Genomic DNA, 21,025 nt, shown 5'->3' with positions numbered 1-21,025 from the left:
TCATTTCTTGTTATACTTAAATTTATTCTATTTTGTCAAATAATTCGTGCATTATACCATGCATATGGTGACTAAACGCATAGATGATGTTCTCCATTTTTCTCATTTGCACAACAGCCACACTTAGTGATCTGTTGTGCCACTGGGAAGGTGTCTGTGTTGTACTCCTGGTCAAAGTACAGGTCCCTCAAATGGAGGAAGTGGTGCAGTATGCTCAGAAGTAGGTAATCACTAAATGACCCTCAGATTCTCAGAGCCTTGGTTTCCAATTTGAATAATAGGAAAGCCCTTCTACGGTCTTCTGGTGGCCTATATCAACACCTCTTTAAAACTTTACTAATTTTACCAAATGGTAGCTCAGGCACTGGGAATGACTTAATGTCGTCACTAGTGATAGGAAATACTATTTTGCTAAAAGAAAATTTTGTCTTCATCATTTTTTAAATGTTACTACAGACTATTTTTTTTTTCCAATGGTGGAATTCAGGTGTTGGCTCTGTTTTCTTCTTAATGTGCCTTTATAGTGGAAGCAAAGATTCACTGGTATAAATTAACAAAAATATCCATTTCAGTTAGTATTACATGTATTTTCCATCCTATTTGGAGAAGAAAGGAACTCTTTAATTAAGGGAACAGATTATTACAGCTTTCACCAAAGAAGAACTGACAGTTTGATAGCCTGACACCCCCTAAGGAATATCTCGATGTTGGGAAGCTTAGCAACACCACGTGCAAGTCTAAAGAACATAATTTGTGGGTCCCAGTGCAAAATGAAAATGCAAGACCACTTGTTCAAGCAGGAGAAAATTGCTATTAAAGTTTCTAAAATGGAAATCATGTTTCTATCTTTTACGGAATCTCTCTCAGGTAGTCAAAATGATATTTGCTATTTAATATCACTCCATGTAAAGAAAAATTAGTATTTTAATTATTAACATGAATTTTACTGTTCTTTATGTCATGCAATGCCAGTTTTAGAGGCATAATAAGATCATGTATTAATATGCAAGATCACTGAAATATACAATGTATATTTTGTAGCTCATACATATATACGCATTTCATTCTTACAAGAGCATTCTTACCGCTGTGCAAAGTTATCTCTATTCTTTATTTCACTTGTTAACACATGTGCATTCCACCAACACTCTCTGCTACCTTCAATTTCAGGAAGGACCTAAATAAGAAGGGACTCTTTCCATGTTCTTCTTTGTCACTATTTTGAACACATGTGATTGGTTAACACAAGGAAAACATGTGTAAGAATGGATGTGACAGTCTTTCTTGGTCATTTATGTTTCTTAGAAACAAGTTTTCTCCATTTGGGGTAAGTTTTAATTCCAACACAAAGTGTAGTGTCTTAGTCACAGACGTAACACATTCACCTCGTACGCATCTACATCAAGTGTTTCTCAACTCTCAAGCATCGTGAGCTCACTGCAATTCTGTGCTGCAGGGACATTGCGAACACTAAACTTAAACGCGAAGGCAAGAAACAGCAGTGATACCTACTGTATGAAGCTCATCTGCTCATGTAAATGTCCATTGTCTCATCAGACTTTACCTTGGAAACAAAAGTTCAAAGACAAAGTGATTAAGAATTTTAAAATGGAAACATTGGAGTGTTAAACCAAGTTCAAGGCCCTTCTGAGCGTGGGGTCTTCTGCAACTATGTTGGTCACAGCCCATGAAGCTGTTCTTGGTAGAGAGAGTTTCTTCCCTCCCTCCCTCCCTCACTTACTTACTTACTTTCTTTCTTTCTTTCTTTCTTTCTTTCTCTTTCTTTCTTTCCTTCTTTCTTTCTTTCTCTCTTTCCCTCTTTCTTTCTTTCTTTTTCTGTCTTTTCTTTCTCTCTTTGTCTTTTTCTCTGTCTTGTCTTTTTCATTTTCCTTTTCTTCTTTCTTTCTTTTTCTTTTCTTTCTTTCCTTTCCTTTCTCTTTCTTTCTTTCATTCTTTCCTTCTTTCTCTTTTCATTCTGTCTCTTTTCCTCTTTCTCTTTCTCCTCTTCCTTCTCTCACTCTCTTCTCTTTCCTTCTCTCTTCTCTTTCCCTCTCCCTCCCTCCATTTTTCTCACTTCCTGTCTTCTGAAGTTAAAACCCAGTTTGTCAATTAAAGTCTGCAGTTACCACCTCCAGACACTAGATGGTGGTGATGCATCAGAAAGGTAAAATGTAGTTAGCGTCAAATTGCTCTTGGGAGTGAATTTAAAGGCTTGTAGAAATCCAGGCAGTATCTGGTAAGCATTTTCGAACGAAGGTCATAAAATGTCAATAAGAAGAAAAAAAAAAGACAAAAAAAAAGACTTTGTGTAGCATTTTCTTCGAGTTTTTAGTCAATTAGAGTAAGTTTTTAATTTCTGTATGTGTACCACAGCCACAGAGCATCTTTATGTTTTCTAGTTTCTGTTTCTTTAAAGTGGAGAGGGAACCTAAAGGATTGGGAACGCTGATTCCTTGATTCTTATCAATTCTTTCCTTATCTTTTACTTTTGCTTTCCTAGCACATAATTTGACTTTTAAAAATTATAGAGTCATTCAAGACATCTGAGTCAATTTTCATAGAAACCACAAAATCAATTAATCAATGCACATTTACTAAGTGTCTACTATATGCCAGGCACTATTCAAGATATGAGGGTACAATAGTAAATTAAAAAGTAAAAGTATCTCTTTTTGTGGAGCTTCGATTCCAATATCATTTCCTTTTTAGATTATTTTGCACTCATATTTCGCTGGCTTACATATTATTTCATGAATTTATAAAATCATTGCAATACATATATCATGCAGATGTAACTTTGGGAATTTCTTTAGAGGACACTGGGTAAACACAGAACTGAACTGTTGGGAGCCAAAGGTTTGGAGCATATTAGCGATGAGTTTTCATTATATTGGGACAATTGGCATTATTGTAATAGAAGGAAGGAAACCCTTTGTCTATGAATCTTACTGTATGGATCAGGGCTGGGATTTGGGGAGTGTAGTCTTCCAAAGAAGAGTCCAATGTGTCCCTGAGACTCTTTCAAGGGAGTTTAGGGTTAAACTAGTTTTTATAATAGTAATAACGTATTGTCTACCTTTTTTTTTATCTTTATGACACTTCAATGACAGTACAAAAGTTATGGTAGATTAAATTGCTAGTACCTTAATGTGAATCAAATGAATGGTCCCAAAATATGCTAGTGGTCACTATAGTCTTTACTGCTATACACTCTTAAGAGCTTGAGAATATCCTTGATAAAGCAGTGATAAAGACTGCTTTTATTGAATCTTGACCCTCAAGTAAGTTTCTCTTAATAATCTGTGTCACAAAATAGAGAGTATGCATAAAATACTTCTGCAACATACCAGAGCACAATGGCTGTCTTCAGGAAAAGGACTTCTGGCATTGTTTGGGATGTTGACTGAAGTTGCTATTTTCTTTTCATGAAATACCATTTTGACCTAAAATAATAACTGACAGAAAAGTTATTCAGATATGAATATTAGGTCTTTTTTTCAAAAATTAGCAAAGTAAATCTATAATCAAAGGAAAACTGACATTATTTGTTGCCAAAGAAAAACATTGAGCTTTCATGTAAAAATTAGAATTTTGGTAAATTTGCACCTACCACTATTAGATCAACAAATACTTGATATAAAACTCGTTTTTTGTTAAACCGGTTAGGCATTTAACAAAGCGGACATTTTGATATCATATAATGAAATGTGTCACTACTTAGAAAATTGGTAAAATTCAGTGAACCAGTATTTTCCAGATGACCAATGTATTATGTTACAAAATCAGGCTTGGGTAAAAATTCCACTAAATAGACAAACCAGTGGTTTTAATGCAACCACGTAGGAAAGGTTCGTTTATAGGTTTCAGATTACACATTGCAACTAATCTTAAAAAATTGTGCTGGCTTTCATTGTAATATCAAAGAAGAATATTCAAAATTAGCTAAAAAGGCTAAAATAGTCTTTCCTTTGCCAACTATATCCAACTTGTATCTGTGTGAGTCCAGATTTTTCTCATGTTTCAACTAAAACAACACACTGCAAGGAAATAAAATCAGAAATAATTGTCACACTACAATTGCCTTCTGTTAAGGTTGATTTGAAAGAGATTTGAAAAAGCGTCAAACAATGTTACTCTTCTTACTAATTGGAATGTTTTGTTTTAAGAATTTTTTAAATAAAATATTACTTCTGTTAATGTGATGAGTTCATTATTGTGAAGCAAATTAATTAATATTTAAATAATTTATCTTAATTTCTCATTAATATGTATATATTTTATATGTGTATACATATATACACAATAGCTCTCTAGGGTCTTCACTAATTTTAAGAACGTAAGGGTTGTCAAGATCAAAAAGCTTGAAACTCACTGGATTTTATTATAAAGGAGATCAGTTAATAAGGTTTAGCTTCTTTTATAACAGAGACTCTAATAAATATAAAGTTCACATTACAGACCATAATGTTCTCAAATTATCTTCTACACTTTAATCATATGAGGATTTTTCTGAAAATAAGTATTTTTGAATCTTGCCCATTCCAAAAGATTCAAGTGTGTTAGTATGGGGTGAAACCAAAAAATCTGCATTTGTTTTCTTTTCTTTCCTTTTCTTTTGTTTGAGACAGAGTCTTGCTCTGTCACCCAGGCTGGAGTGCACTGGGGTAGTCTCAGCTCACTGCTACCTCCACCTCCTGGGTTCAAGCAATTGTCCTGCCTGAGCCTCCCAAGTAGGTGGGATTACAGGCACTTGCCACCACGCTGGGCTAATTTTTTTGTATTTTTAGTAGAGAAGGGGTTTCACTATGTTGGCCAGGCTGGTCTCAAACTCCTGACCTCAAGCAATCCACCTGCCTTAGCCTTGCAAAGTGCTGGGATTACGGGCATGAGCCACTGCACCTGGCTAAAATCTGCACCTTTTTAAAACACATTTTAGGTGATTCTGAGGTTCTTAAAGCTTAACGCCCTGTGAACTATTACTATGAAATAATAGTTTTAATACTAGTCTTGTAAAAATAATTTTAGCAGTGTGAAAGCAATGTAAGCTCATTATAGAGTATTGGGAAAATGCAAATTAACTAAAAGAATCGTAATACAAATCACATGCAAAATCTCTCATCTGTAATCTCATTATCTAGTGTATTCGTTTTTTCACTGCTATAAAGAAATATCTGACAACTGGGTAATTGATAAAGAAAAGAGGTTTAAGTGAGGTTCAGTACTGCAGGCTGTGCAGGAAGCATGATGCCAGCTTCCGCTGGGTTTCTGAGCAGGCCTCAGGAAACTTACAATCATGGCAGGAGGTGAAGGGTTAGCAGGCCCATCTTACATGGCTGGATCATGAACAAGAGAGAGGAGGGAGGCGCTACGCACTTTTAAACACCAGATCTTATGGGAACTCACTGACTATACAGTACTAAGAGAGGATGGTGCTAAACCATTCATGAGAATTCTGCCCCATGATCCCATCACCTTCCTCCAGGCCCCTCCTCCAACACTGGGGGTTACCATTCCACTTCAGATTTGGGCAGAGACACGGATCCAAACCATATGACCTAGAAATAACTGTTATTGACACTGACTGTTGACTCAGTCTTAGATATGTGTATGGGTGTGCATTTCTGAATGTTCAGAAATAGTGAGGTATGGTTTGCTTTTAATTACTTAACAATATTTAATTAACCTCTTTCCCTGCTGTTGACTGTCTGCGTAAACCTGTGCTTGTAAAACCTGGCTATTTCAGAATTACCTAGGGAGCTTTTAAACATACTGCTGCCTAAGCCCCCTGCCCAGTGACTCTGATTTAATTTGTGAATTATTTCCTATTGGAACAATCAGTAGAAACTGGAATAAATGGGTTTCACAGTCTTTATTTGGGGGAGGGCTTTAATATTGCTCTCCAGAATACTCTATTGATTTGCATTCTCATTAGGGAACATGAGAGAGCTCAGCTTCTCAGTAGCAGTCACTCATACCAAGTTTTAAAAACCTTTGCCAAGCTGAGTGTGGAAAACTTTGGCCACATGCATAAATTTGCAATAGTTTGAATATGTGATAGTGCTGAACTTTTGTGTTTATCATCTAAGTACACTTCTTCTTCCTTGAATGGCCTTCTTGCCTCAAACCCTAACCTTTAGAGGTTGATGAAAAAGAGCAAGGGCCTGTCCTTCCCAAATCTCCCCTGAAGCCACTGCCAAATATAGGATTCGTTACAGTCTGTATCATCGATGTGCCAGTATGTAGATTCTTCTATTTATTTTCATTGAATCATAACTTATCTTCGCTAAATAACTAATCTTAGCTAAATCTTAAACACCACAAAAAGTGTATTAAAATGGAATTTATATCTTGATCCTAGCCACCATCCTTAATCCTATCCTCGACCTAAATATTATATGTTTTATTTTGATTAATTTACAATGTATTAGTCATAGGGTTATAAACGTCAATTAAAAGTTTTGGAGAAATTATGTGCTTGAACAGGAATTGAATTGTCGGTAACTATATTGTAGCATTGTTTGTTATCACTGGAAAATGTCTTGCAAAATTCGGATCGGCCTTTAATGAAAAGTTGGGTCTTTTCCTTTTGTGGTCTTATCTCAAATCACCAACATTGTGAGTCATCAGAAGTGAAAGCCTTAGAATTCTATCAAGTGAATTACATGCTGGCAAAAACCATCACTAGGCTGCCTTTGGAATTTAACATTACTATTATGTTACCGGGCATGTTCTGCCTTTGAGCTTATGAAAACTGAAGGGAGAGTATTTCTGGGAAAAATTCCTAAGACTCAGGCCTCTGTTGGCATTTGCAATAATACAACCACAATTTGACCATATGTTTTCTTTAAGTATTTTTGATAACTTTTTAGAGTTGGCCTCAGTCTGTGTTGAAAACAAAATCTACTTGGTGGCTAGAAGGGATGCCTAGAGATGAGAGAACCAGAATTGACCTTCTAGTCAAGGCAGATTTTAAGCTGAACCCCATGACTATAATCTATCCTGCAAGTATGGACACTGTTGAGGGTAAAATGGGGCAATGTTTTGACATGGGAATAGCAAGCATAAATCAGAATGGGCTAGGTATATAGTGAGCACGAAGTACAGAGACTTGATACCCAGATCAAGAATGGAGATGCCGGCTGGGGACAGTGGCTCACGCCTGAAATCCCAGCACTTTGTGAGGCCAAAGCAGGCGGATCACTTGAGGTCAGGAGTTCAAAACCAGCCTGGCCAACATGGTGAAATTCCGTCTCAACTAAAAATACGAAAGTTAGGTGGACATGTTGGCATCCCTTATTCCCAGCTACTCAGGAGACTAAGGCATGAGAATCGCTTGAGCCCAGGAGGCAGAGGTTGCAGTGAGCCAAGATTGTGCCACTGTACTCCAGTTGGGTGACAGAGCAAGACTCCGTCTCTAAATAAATAAATAAATAAATAAAATAATGGAGATGCCTAGGAAGTTGCATCAAAGTTAGATCTTGAGGGAGGTGGGAGAGCATACCAGATAAAGTCGGGAGCGGGATTTCCCAAGAGAGGCCATAGCATGGACCTCTGCATGATTGTTCAGGCCCCTGTGGACATGCTGACATATCTCTGTGAATAGTGGCAGTGCAGCCTTTGATGTCTAGGGTAGCAGAGATTAAAGAGGGCCACTCTCTGCCGGGTTTATATGCCCTGGGAGACTGATCCCAATTGACCTACTCTCTCCTTTCCTCTCTATGAAAATAAAATGATAATAGCAAACTAATTCCTGCTGGTATTCCTGAAATAATCCAACAAAAGTGAAAAAAGAAATCAGAAGGACCAGTAAATCCTTCTTCTCTCTACTGTTTAACACCAAACTATATTACTGTATGTATTCAAAATATCTTATATTTGCAATAATCATATCTACGATGACTATTGAAAAATAATGAAAACCACTGGCTTCCTATTATGAAAACAATATTACACAATGTGAAATTTATTAATTTTATTAATCTAAGAAGTGCCTTAATATTTAGTTGATAACTTATTGACAGTATTTATTGTAAAAATAAATGTGTATATTTTTATCTTTTCTTTCTGCTTTAGATATGTTGTGGAACAATGTTGAGTCTAAATAAACTACAAATTATATATTTTTGATATGTCTATGTATTATCTTATTCAATGAATACAAATTAACTTTTTGTTTTGTGAATTGCGAATGAAATAGTAAAGTGAGTCATTTTGCATATAATGTTGTTAACACCAACTCTGTGTCAAAAGCCCAACATTTACAAGTCAAAAGTTACTGCATTTAAGATGATTACTAAATAGTGAAGATGAGGTAACACAAAAATCAAACTAATAACAATAATGTATTTCAATTTACATTTTGTGACTCTGTGCAAGGAGATATTGTAGCTTTAGACAGAGTATATAAAATTAGAATATATATACAAAAGGATATATATATATATATATATATATATATATATATAATATAATCACATAGAAACTGATGTCGTTACAAAATGAATGACTTAGGAGTAGGCAAATTTCGACCTTTGATATAGGCCTTGAAAGATCCTTGAAAGGTGTGTATTTTGTATTGGCAAGGAGGAAGGAAGGCTTAGGATAAGCTGTAGTCATGTGAAAGCATTGGATATTGGGACTAAATTGGTCTTCTGGTTCATCTGAAGAAAGAACAGAGAAAGGAAAATTCCAACAGTAGTTAGAAAAGCCTTGTTTATTTTTCTCCCTTCCTCTCTCCTTTCCCAAGCGTTTCACTAGGAAAGAAAATAGCTCTTCTATGGTACCCATGTAATACTAATTTCTCAGCGTTGTCATTCTAGGAACTGCCAATGATTGATGACAATCTATTTAGATTCAGTTCTTTAAAGGACAAAGCAAACCACTTCAGTGACTGAATTTTTTTTTAACCTGCAATGTGTATTGTTTGATTATGTTTGCATAATTTATCAAGAGACTTCAGAATCTCCCCGTCACCTGCTCCTCAGATCAGAAGGTGATTGTGGCTTTGGGTGGATATTAATCAGCCACAGCACTGCCTGGTCAGAAAGAGCAAGTGTCCTAGCCTTTACCTCATGAGACCTTGGGTATCCATCCAGCGTAGGTCCCAAGGGAACTGCATTTGGTGGACTGGAGTGGCCAGCATGCTTCAGGTGAGATGAAAAGTGCCATGTTTAACCTGTGTTTGGAAGCTTGTCTTTCTCATAAAATACCTAGTTGTTTCCTCACATGAGCATTTTGATCATTACCTCCTCTTCCCCACTCTTTAACATTTTTATACCATAAAGAGAAAATAACTTGGGATTCCATGCAGACATTTGAAATTCATGGGCAAAATCTTCAAACTGCAAATAGTACAAGTTTTATATGCATGCTTTAATTTGACTTTCTTCAAATATGAATGCTGCTATAATGCACACATGCAAAGGCCGCTATTGGAATATACTTTCTATGTATCCTCAGAAGCAGAGCTGGCCTCTGGCTGGTAAGTGTGGCTGCCTCATCAGCAGTATATATCTGATCATCTCAACAGTGTTTTCCATTCCTAGTAAAGGAAAAGCCCCATAGAAATAGTAACATATGTGTTTAGGAGCTAACGCTTCAGGAGAGTTTAGACGAGGAGATTCTGGGAACAATACCACAGGAATCCAGGAAAGACTTTGATGCAGAGAAAGGCTATTACTCCATGAAACACTACAGATGGGAGGTGAGCCAAAGAAAATTTTTTGTACTTTGCAATGTTTCCTTAATATGGTCCTGCTCCAACATAATGTAATTATACAAGCTGTGGTTGCCAAAAACTAAATATGAACAAAAATGGAAAAGACAAGATGTTTGTAGGGGAGACTATAGGCATCTGGCGTGCAGGGAAAAAAGTCAATAAATTGTTCAACTGAGGTGAAAATTAATTCTAGAATATTTTCAGGCAATTGTTGGTAGGGTGTTTGTTACTTTGGGCTGGTGTGTACTCGATGGCAACTTTTGTTGAATTAATTTTTGATTTTGATTAGACTTTTACTCAATCACATATAATAAGTACAGCTTCCTTTCTTGAGTTACAGTTTACTATTTCCTTAATATTTAGAAGCATAAGAATATTCTGTAGCCATATATCAACTGAGATATCTTTGAATATTTTTTGTCCTATAAATTATTTACAAAGTATTATGACTGTAGAATACATTTTACCTTGATGAACTATTTCTACCTTTCAGATGGTTCTTGGACTTGAACATAAGGCAATATAGTACATGCTCCAAATATTTACAGAAATTATTTTGTATCACTGAAAAAATATTGCGCTTGAGATTTTGTGATTTTATTTCTGGAGCTGACTTGGCAGGAGAAGTCTTAAAGCATTGCCTCTTTAAAAAAATAATAATTTGATCAAAGAAGTTTAGGGACCAACAGTGTACTAACTTAAAAAATGAAAACAATGGAATCTTTAACCTGAGGGGACAAGTTGATTGCTAAAGTTTGTTTCCTAGAAAGGAAAAAAACAAAGGTCAAAGATGAGTTTAATAAACTTTCTTATGTCAAATACACTTCTTCTGTGTGTTATCAAGAATCTCAGCTATCATCACTCTTCTTTAATAAAACTGGTTATCCTGCATATAACACTGTTTTGTTCTCGGAGGAAAAGTCATGAAATGAGAGAAGATGGGCACAATATCCTTTCCCCACCATCTTAGATTCCCTGGAAAGTATTCGCTCTGAAGTCCAAACATCTCCAGCATTAGACTATGATAATAATGACACAAAGGATAGATATATATAAATGGAAAATCATGTTCTATAAATGGATTACCTCTAAGATACAAAAGTATTAAAATATATTTTCTTTGTGAAATACAATGCCCATCTATTTAATTGGTAATGTGTTTTGACAGGACAGTAAACAGCATGATAAAACCATTTGGGTTTCAAAATCTTCAACAACTCATTATTTACAAAGGCTTGAATAAATCTTTGATAGTCTTTTGGTAAAGGTACTGTTGTATTGCAGGAAGCCAAAGTTAAATATCAGTGTATTAATTTCTTTTCCAGATAGATGTGATCATATCACTACCTTGAATACTTTTTTCTTTTTTCTTTTTTTCTTTTTTTTTTTTTTTTTTTTTTGAGATGGAGTCTCGCTCTGTCGCCCAGGCTGGAGTGCAGTGGCATGATCTTGGCTTACTGCAAGCTCTGCCTCCCAGGTTCATGCCATTCTCCTACCTCAGCCTCCCAAGTAGCAGGGACTACAGGCGCCTGCCACGATGCCTGGCTAATTTTTTGTATTTTTAGTAAAGACAGCGTTTCACTATGTTAGCCAGGATGGCCTCGATCTCCTGACCTCGTGATCCGCCCGCCTTGGCCTCCCAAAGTGCTGGGATTACAGGTGTGAGCCACTGCGCCCAGCCTTGAATACATTCTTTAAAAGCTTTCTTCCACTTGCAGACTAAATGTCATACTCTACAGCAATAGCATATTACTCTGTATTAGTCTGTTTTCATACAGCTATGAAGAATTGCCCAAGACTGGTCATTTATAAAGGAAAGAGGTTTAATTGAATCACAGTACGGCTGGAGAGGTGTCAGGAAACTTAAAATCCTGGTGGAAGGCGAAGGGGAAGCAAGGCATCTTCTTCAGAAGGTGGCAGGAAGGAGAAGTACTGAGTGAAGCAAAAGATCCTCTTTTAAAACTGTCAGGTGTCCTGAGAACTCACTCACTATCATGAGAACAGCGGTGGGGAAACTGCCGCCATGATTCAATTACCTCCACCTGGTCTCTCCCTTGACACATGGAGATTATGAGGATTACAATTCAAGATGAGATTTGGGTGGGTACACAAAGCCTAACCATGTCATACATGTTAGCCATGATCATTAAATTCTTTCCTTTTTCACTTAGTTATTTTAGTTCCTATTCTATGAAGTAGCTCCATGTCTTGTATATAATAACCTTTACCTCCCAAAGCTTATCCTTTAAAACTCAGCATATTTGGTTCTTATTCCATGAAGCCTTCTCACACGTTTCTCACTTGTGTGCTCCACCATCTCGCCAATCAAAACTAACCATCCCTTTGTTTTCTCCATCTTCTGTCTTTCTAGTTACTGAGTATTGTGTATGCAATACTGTATGCTAATGTTTCTTTACCTCCTTCTCTCCTTTAAAGTCCTGAGACTCCTTGACAACCATGACTATGCCATTCTCATGATTATAACTTCACGGCCCAGCACAGTGCATGCATATTTTAACTGTTCAGTAAATTGTTATTGAATGAACATTTGAATGAAAAACTTACACTAATATTATGTAATGAAATTTAACACTGAGATAATATGAGATACTTTGAAGTAAAGCAAACATCATGAATCTAATAGTGTGAAGGCATTGAAAATAAATTTTTTTCTTTGGTCATAAAGAGAGATATATTTCAGCCTATATATAGAAGAGAGCGAATGGGTATAACAGTTTGCAAAAATCCATAATAGGGCTATTCAGTAGAATGTTCTGTTCTCAATGCCTATGTAAAAAGAAACCAAAATTTATGTTTAACTTTCTGTATTAAGGTGATTTGAAGATAAAGAAATAAAAGAGACATTTTGCTTTTTAAAAAGTGCCTAATTTAAAAAGTTTCTATCGTAGATAGTACTTGGAGTGCTATAATTTCCAATTTGAATTTCATTTTTTTCTTATAACAACTTTATTGAAGCACAGTTTTCCATATTTAAAATGTACTAATTGATACTTTTTGACATAAGTATACATTCATTAAATAGACACCACTGTAAGATACGGAACTTATGCATTACCAACAAAGACTCCTGATACTTCCTCAGAACCACTCTGCCTGGCCTCACCCCACGTATAGCTGAGAAAAGCCCTGATCTGCTTCATTTCGTGATAGATTAGTTTGCATTTTCTTCAGTTTTATAGAATATAAATCATACAATATGTTCTCTGGAATGTCTGGCTAATTATTTTGAGATCAAACCATGTTGTAGTATATATCAATAGTTTATTCTGATTCTGTTTATTGATGAGTAGTATTCCATTCTATGGAATCTATTCACCTGTTGTTTCCGGCTTTAGGTTATTACAAAAAAAAAGCTGCTATGAAAATTAGTGTGAAATCATTTTTATTGAGATACAATTATTTTTTTCTTGGTGAGATATCTGGGAGTGGAATGGTTGGATCATATGGTTGCTGTATACAGTCTTTAAGTTTTTAAAGAATTTGATAAATTCTTTTTAAAAAAGATTTCTTGTTTTACATTTCCACCAGTAGAGTGTAAGAAGTTCAGTTCCACTACATATTTAACACTGGTCGACACAAGCAGTCTCTTTAATTTTAGATATTCTAGTATGTGAGTTGTACCTAATTGTGATTTTAAATTGCATATTTTAATAAATAATGATGTTGCACATCTTTCCTCACGTTTATTTTCCATCCATATACCTTATTTGGTGAACAATCTGTTCACATATTTTACTAAATTTTTAATTAAATTGTTGGCTTTCTTATTATTGTGTTTTGACAGCTCTTTACATATTTTGATAGAAATCCTTTACACAGATTTCATCCTTATAGCTTGTAGCTTGTCTTTGCATTTTCTTAACCATGTCATTTAAAGAGCAAAAGTTTTCAGTTTTTCTGATATCCATTTTATCCTTTTGTCCTTTTATTGATTGTGCTTCTGGGACGGTTCTTAAGAAATCTTTGCCTAATCCATTGTGACGAAGTTTTATTCTATGATTTTTAAAAAGATTTTTATTGCTTTAGGATTTACATTTTTGCTTAAATGCTGTAATAAATTTTGTAGATAGTGGGAGAGAAGATCAAAGCTTACTTCTTACATATGGTTATCCAGTAGTCCCAACACCACTTGTTGAAAGATTATCCTTCTTTTATGGAAATACCTTTGCATCTTTGCAAGAAATTTCCATACGTGTGTGGGTCTATATCTAATCTGTCTATTCTCTTCTATTGATCAATATGTCTATTATTTTCTCTAATACAACAGTGTGTTGATTATAAGAGCTTTATAATGTCTATTGAAATGAGATAGTGTTAATCCTCCTATTTGGTTCCTCTTTTTAAACGTTGTTTGGCTATTTTAGGCCCTCTGCATTTAAATATGAATTTGAAGTGATTTTGTCAATTTCCACAGAAAAGTCAAATGACTGATTGACATTGAATTGAAACTATGGACCCATTTGGGGAGAATTTATATCTAAATAATATTGAAATTTCCTACCCATTAACACCAGCTATGGCTTCCTTTATTTTGCCCTCTTTCATTTCTCTAAACAATGTTTTATAGTTTTCAGTGTCTAACATTATTTACCATATTTACCATAAGAATTTTATAATTTTATGCTACTGTATATAATATTTTTAAAATTTTATTTTCAGCTGTTTGCTAGTATGGAAATACATTTAATATTGATATTTTAACTTGTCTTTCTAAATTCACTTATTATTTCCAGTAACTTCTTTGTAGGTTATATTTAATTTTCTACATGGATGATTATGTTGTCTATGAATAATGACATCTTTGTTTTCCAATCTGGATGCCTTCTGTTTGTTTGTGTTGCCTGATTTCACTGCCTAGTACCTCAAGTACAATGTTGACTAGAGATGGTGGGAGCAGACAGCTTGACTTACTTGTGATATTAGAGAGAAAACAGTCAGGTTTTTTTTTTTTTTTTTTTTACCATTAACTATGATGTTAGCTGCGGCTCCCCTCCCTCCTTCCCTCTCTCCCGCCTCCCTCCCTCCCTTTCCTCCTCCCCTCCCTCCTCTCCTCCCCTCCTCCCTCCCTCCATCTTTCCTTCCTTCCCTCCCTGCCTCCCTCCCTCCTTCCTTCCTTCCCTCTTTATAAAGTTATTTCCTTTCTTTTCCTACTTTCTGATAATTTTTAATAGAAAAAGACATTTTATTAAGCACATTTTCTGTATCTATTGATATTATCTTATGTATTTCCTTTTTTTTTACTTGTTAATATGGTGAATTACATAGATTCACTTGAGAATTTTTAGTCATCCTTGCATTCCTGCAATGAAGTCAACTTACTCATATATTGTTATCCATTTTATATCTTGTTTGATGGACTGAATTTACTAAAATGAATTTAGAGTTTTTGGTGTCTATGTTCATGAGGGATATTGGTCCACAAACTTCTATTTTAGATAATGCCTTTATCAAGTCTTCATATCAGCATATCAGGGTAATATTGAGTTCATAAAATGAATTGGAAAAACAGGACTTTCCTCTTTTAATGTCTTGAAAAGTTTTTGTAGAATTGGTATTTTTCTCTTCTTCTTCTTCTTCTTCTTCTTCTTCTTCTTCTTCTTCTTCTTCTTCTTCTTCTTCTTTCTTCTTCTTCTTCTTTCTTCTTTCTTCTTTCTTCTTCTTCTATTTTGTCTTGTAGAGATGAAGTCTTGCTCTGTCACCCAGGCTGGAGTGCAGTGGCACAATCTTGGCTCACTGCAATCTCCGCCTCCCAGGTTCAAGCAATTCTCCTGCCTCAGCCTCCCAAGTAGCTGGGATTACAGGCATGTGCCACCACGCCCAGCTAATTTCTTTTGTATTTTAGTAGAGATGTCGTTTCACCGAGTTGCCCAGGCTGGTCTCAAACTCCTGAACTCAGGCAATCCACCCGACTCGGCCTCCCAAAGTGCTAGGATTACAGGAGTGAGCCACTGCTTCTGGCCTGGTATTCTTCTCTTCTTATCTGTGATTGAATTGACCACTGTAGCCAAATGGGTCTGACTTTTTTTTTTTTTTTTTTTTTTTTTGGATTTAAAGGGTTTTAGCTACAAATTCATTTGTTGAAATATATACAGAGATATTCAGATTTTCTATTTCTTCTGGAGGGATTTTTAAGTAGTATGTATTTTTAAAGAGATCTGACCATTTCTTATAGGTCTAGATTGTCAAACATATTGGTATAAAGTTGTTCATATGTTTTAATTTTTCTTTTGTTATCCGTGGAGTCTATAGTGATGTGACTTTTCTCATTTCTAATATTAATGATTTATTTCTTCTTCCTGTATGTTCCTGATCAGTCTTGCTGGGATACGTTAACTTATCTATTCAGAGATCCAACTTTTGATTTTTTTTAATTGTATATATTAAGTTTTTGGTCCAATTCCATTGATTTTTCTCTTTTTGTTTTTGTTATAACTGTTCTATGTGCTTTGGGTTTAATCAACACTTCCTCATATATTCAGGTGAATTCCAAGGTCAATTTGCAAACTTTCTTCCTTTCCAACATAGATATTTAGTGGATACAGCATTCCATAAACATAAATTAGGCAAGTTGGTTGATAGTATTTTTTTCTGGTCTGTTATGTACTGACTACCTTACTGTATTTTTGTTCAATAAAATTATTGAGAGAGGTGTTTTGAAATCTTTTGCTATAATTATATATTTGTCTATTTCTTCTTTCTGTTTTTGCTTCATGTATTTGAAACCCTGTGGTTGGGTGTATACATGTTTAAGCTTATAATGATTCCATGTGAACTGACCCGTTTATCATCAAGAAATGCATTTTTATCCCCGCTAATAGTCTTCTTTGAGGACCACTTCGTCTGATATTAATGTAGCCATTTTTGCTTTGTTTTGATTCATGTTAGCTTTCTTTGTAGAAAACATATAATTATATCTGACTTTTTATCTTTTTATGTAATCTGGTAGTTTCTTTTTCTTTGTTTTATCTGGATATTTTTATTACTGCACCTGTAAGTTCACTAGTCTTTTCTTCTCAATATCTAAACTGCCATTAATTCCTTTCTGTGAATTTTTCATTCAAGATGTTGTAGTTGTCATCTCTGAAAGTTCAATTTGGGCATCGTTTTTCCATCTTCCATGTCTCTACATAAATTTTACAACATATAAAGTTAAAATGACTGTATTCGTGTTTCTGTCTACAAATTCTAACATCTTTGTCAACTTTAGGTCAGTTTCTGTTCACTTTTCTACTTATTGTAAGCCATCTTTTCCTGCTTATTATGTGTCACATTTTCCTGCTTGTGTGTGTCTGATAATATTGGATTAGTTTTCAGGCATTGTGAAATTTACTATTTGGGTGCTGCTTTTTGTATTTTTGTATAACAAAAAGCTTTGTTTGGTATACAACTGAGTTATGTAGAAACATTGTTATTTCAATTTTGCCTTTAAGAATTGTTAGGCATGTCTGGAGCAGTACTCAGTGTAGGAATAATTATTCCCTACTACTGAGACAAGATGCATCTGTGTGTTTTACTGATTGCCCATGAGTCATAAGTTTTTCCATCCTAGCTGGTAAGAATAGGCACCATTTCTTAGCCCAGTGTGAGTGCTGGGCACCATCATCTCATTCATTTAGGTGTTCTTTCCCTGTCCTTCAGTGGTTTTCTTTACTGATCAGGTGAATACTGAAGTGGAAACCTGAAAATTTCCAGAATTCACCCTCTATGCAGCTCTTGTCTCTTCTGAAGTCTATCTTGTAAATTCTAGCTGCCTTTTCCACCTAAACTCTCAGCCATTCTTGTCAACTCAGAGAACCTCCTGGGCTCTGCCTGGGTATTCCCTCCCTGCATCTGAAAACTCTGTCACAGCTGTAAGATGAGACTTGCATTGTAAGGCTTGCATTGTATGTTTCCAGTCTTTCAGAGGTCACTGTCCTATATGGCCTAATGTCCCAAATGTTGAAACTGTTGTTTCAGATAATTTCTCTGTTGATTGTTTCAGGGAGAAAGGTAAACTCAGCTCCTGTTATTCCATACTTCTAGAAGCAAAAATAAGGACCTTATGTTTTTAGACATTTAGGTTTTAAAAATATGTTTGTTAGCTGTATTAGTCATCTTTAGGCTCATGTGCTCGGAAAAAAACAGGCCCCAAATCTCCTCATGTTAGGACAACAGTTTATTTCTCATGTTTCATGTCAGCTGGATGAGAGGAGCCCGCATACTATGGCAAACAATTTTCATGGTAAAGGGGATAGAAGTGAAACAGTTGGAACAAATGACACCATAGCATTTGAAGCTATTTCCCGAAGTCACGTTTGTTACATGCTGTTGGAAATCATAGTTGTAACACAAGTACACTCATTCCACAGGGGTATGGCAAAGCACATGGCAGTAGGAAAGGATATATTATTCTCTCATAGGGAAGGGACAAGAGAATAATTAGGGAAAGAAAAGAATCTACTGTTGTTTCCACTCTCTAAAGTATGTGAGAAGATATATAACAGTGAATCGTTGTAGGGTTGTTTTTCTAGATAGCACTTATATGCTTACAGTGGAAACAGGTAAAGTATATGGGGGAATGTGTGTAGGTTATATGTAAATACTATGCCATTTTATATGAGAAACTTGAGTGTTTGTGAATTTTGGTACAGTATACATGGAGGTCCTGAAACCATGAATACCAAGGGTCAACTGTATAAATATAATATGTACATATAATTTTTAAAATGTGAATTATATAAATATTATTTATATGATATATAAATATATATTTTCCTGGAACACAAAACATAGCTTCCCCATGATATCAAATCTTCTTTCCTTCCTAAATTTTTTTCTTATTTCAGGCATAGTACAGTGTTCATCAGAGGCTGATATTTGGGTGGCCTTCTCTTGAACAGAACTAAGACTAGACTGGGAACCCAAGTAATATTGATTTTTGATTAGGCTTAAAATTAGATAAGGCAATGTAAGGCAATTAATGAGTTAAAAGTGCTATCTATAAATATTTATGAAGTTCTTGGCAGTGTTTTATAAAGACCACGTTTATTCATCTTTAGCATTTAATTTGCAATTTTTTTAGATCATATCCTATGTTTTGGATGTGCTTTGTATGTGTGTCTATAAATCATGTGTCTCCATGTATCTGTGGGCAAAAACACACTTGCACATGTAATATATTTTTTATTATTGTAAATAAAATAATTGATTTTATTCTAGAAGAAATAACACTATTTAATTTAGTGTTTATCACAGATAAATGGATAGACAATGATGAACAGGCATGTAGTAAGCACTTAACAAGATTCCAGACATTCTACAAGGTACATACAAAATACTAAGTCATTTTCAGAAAATAGATACCTGAAATTCTAATTGGCCTGTGTTGATTTCACTAGTTTTATGACATTAAGCCAGAAATAATCAAAGAGTTTTAATAATGTACTCATAGGTCGTGTTTTAAACCCCCATATTAAAAAAAAAGACTTAACTTCCTGTCCTTGTTGCAAATAAAATATCTATGTACATAGAAACTAGTCTTCTTTTTTTCTTTTTTTAAAACCAACTCTCACTTTGTTGCCCAGGCTGGAGTGCAGTGGTGCAATCTCAGCTCACTGCAACCTCCACCTCCTGGGTTCAAGCAATTCTCCTGCCTCAGCCTTCCAAGTAGCTGGGATTACAGGTGCATGCCACCACACCCAGCTAATTTTTGTATTTTAGTAGAGATGGGGTTTCACCACTTTGGCCAGGCTGGTCTCAAACCTTTGACCTCAGGAGATCCGCTCGCCTTGGCCTCCCAGAGTGCTGGGATTACAGGCATGAGCCACCGTGCCCAGGCAAGGGTTCTAATAAGAGAATAAATCTCATTGGCAGATGAGAAAAATGCATGGCTCCAGACAAATTTCAGTCTCCCCTGGAGCATCCCGTTTTCAATGCTAACTTTAACAGCTATAATAGCCTCTCCTGAAATGCATTCATTTATCTAGTCTGTGCATTTTAAAATCCAGTGTACAAATCCCAAGCATGGTAATCTTTTCAAGTACATTTTCATCATGTAACTTCCAGGGCTTAAAGCATTTCAAAAGTTTCTGTTACTCTTTACATAAAGATAAAAACAATTCTTAAACAGGCTTATAAGCACTGTGTTTTGTTTCCCCTGCCTGGCACTCTACATCATCTCAAATAACTCTGCCCTATGTTCTGTGTGTCCCTGCTTTCTCTCTCCCTCCCTATTTTTGCTTTTCTTTCCTTCCTTCCTTCCTTTCCTTCCTTTCTTCCTTCCTTTCCTTCCTTTCTTCCTTCTTTCCTTTTCCCTTTTCCTGTCCTGTCCCTTCCCTTCCCTTTCTTTCCATCCTTTCTTGTTTCTCTCTCTTGTTTTGTCTTCCTTCCTTTCTTCTCTTTTTTCTTGTTTCCTTCCTTCCTTTTTTTCTCTCCTGCCTATGACATTTGCTTGTTTTGCCCTTTGAATCTCTTTATTCCACTTTGATTAATTTTCTTTCACTTATCCTTCAGATGTCAGTTTCGATATCAGAAAGGCAGGAAAACATTTGCTAATCACTGCTCTCTTGTTGGTCCTTCGAACTCCATTTACTTCAGAAGATTTATCCTGATGTGCAGTTATGTGTGTTCTGGCTAAAGTTTCATGTTTGTTTTATCATTTATCATTAAAGTTTCTGTTTTGTTTTATCATCGTCTTACTAGAATCTACCCCAGGATTTGATGAAGCTGATGTTCACCACCTATTTGCTAAATGAATAAAAATGAAGTCCACACATACTTATACCCACATAATTCAGTCCTGTACTGAATAAGTACTCTGAGATGGTGATTCTATTATGGAAGCCAAATCCATGTGAAGAGCACAGGGCTGCAGGTCAGGTGGCCTCAGTTCTCATCTTGTCCTCATTCATTAACAGTTTGATGTGATAGGGAAAAATTTTTCCAGGTCTCAATTTCCTCACTTGTAAGATGACAACATTGCATAAAATGATTTCTGAAGTCCCTTAATATTCTGTGATTTTATGTCAGTTTTAAAGAAAACATATTGATTACTTGTGCTTTCTGACAGTAATTCCATTTAGTATGGGCTTGTCCCTTCCAATAGCACTCATAACACAACTCTTGGCCATCGACATAATAACATTCCAAGTATTCCTTAGTTTAACGCCGAAATAAATTACTCATCTGGTATAAAATGTATTTTTTCTTATGGAAACCTACTATTTAAAATTATCCCAAGCTATTAAATTTCTTGCTCCAGAGTCTGAAACTCCTTACTAACCAATCATGCAATTATGTGGAGAGTAA

The 21,025-nt window shown here is 35.4% G+C and overlaps 1 protein-coding gene and 1 non-coding gene across 5 annotated transcripts in view; both read left to right on the top strand.

Annotated features, from left to right (window-relative positions):
- The window catches only part of SGCZ (sarcoglycan zeta), a 1,153,587-nt gene that overhangs the window by 375,945 nt on the left and 756,617 nt on the right, over positions 1–21,025 (top strand). The gene's annotated exons all lie outside the window — the stretch shown is intronic.
- Positions 8,977–9,049, top strand: MIR383 (microRNA 383). Its single transcript, NR_029875.1, has one exon. It is a non-coding gene; the product is annotated as a microRNA 383 (primary transcript).

Source organism: Homo sapiens, chromosome 8 (assembly GCF_000001405.40).
Source record: "Homo sapiens chromosome 8, GRCh38.p14 Primary Assembly".
Classification (NCBI taxonomy): domain Eukaryota; kingdom Metazoa; phylum Chordata; class Mammalia; order Primates; family Hominidae; genus Homo; species Homo sapiens.
Note: the sequence above shows the minus strand (reverse complement) of the source record. Positions and strands in the feature narration are given on the sequence as shown.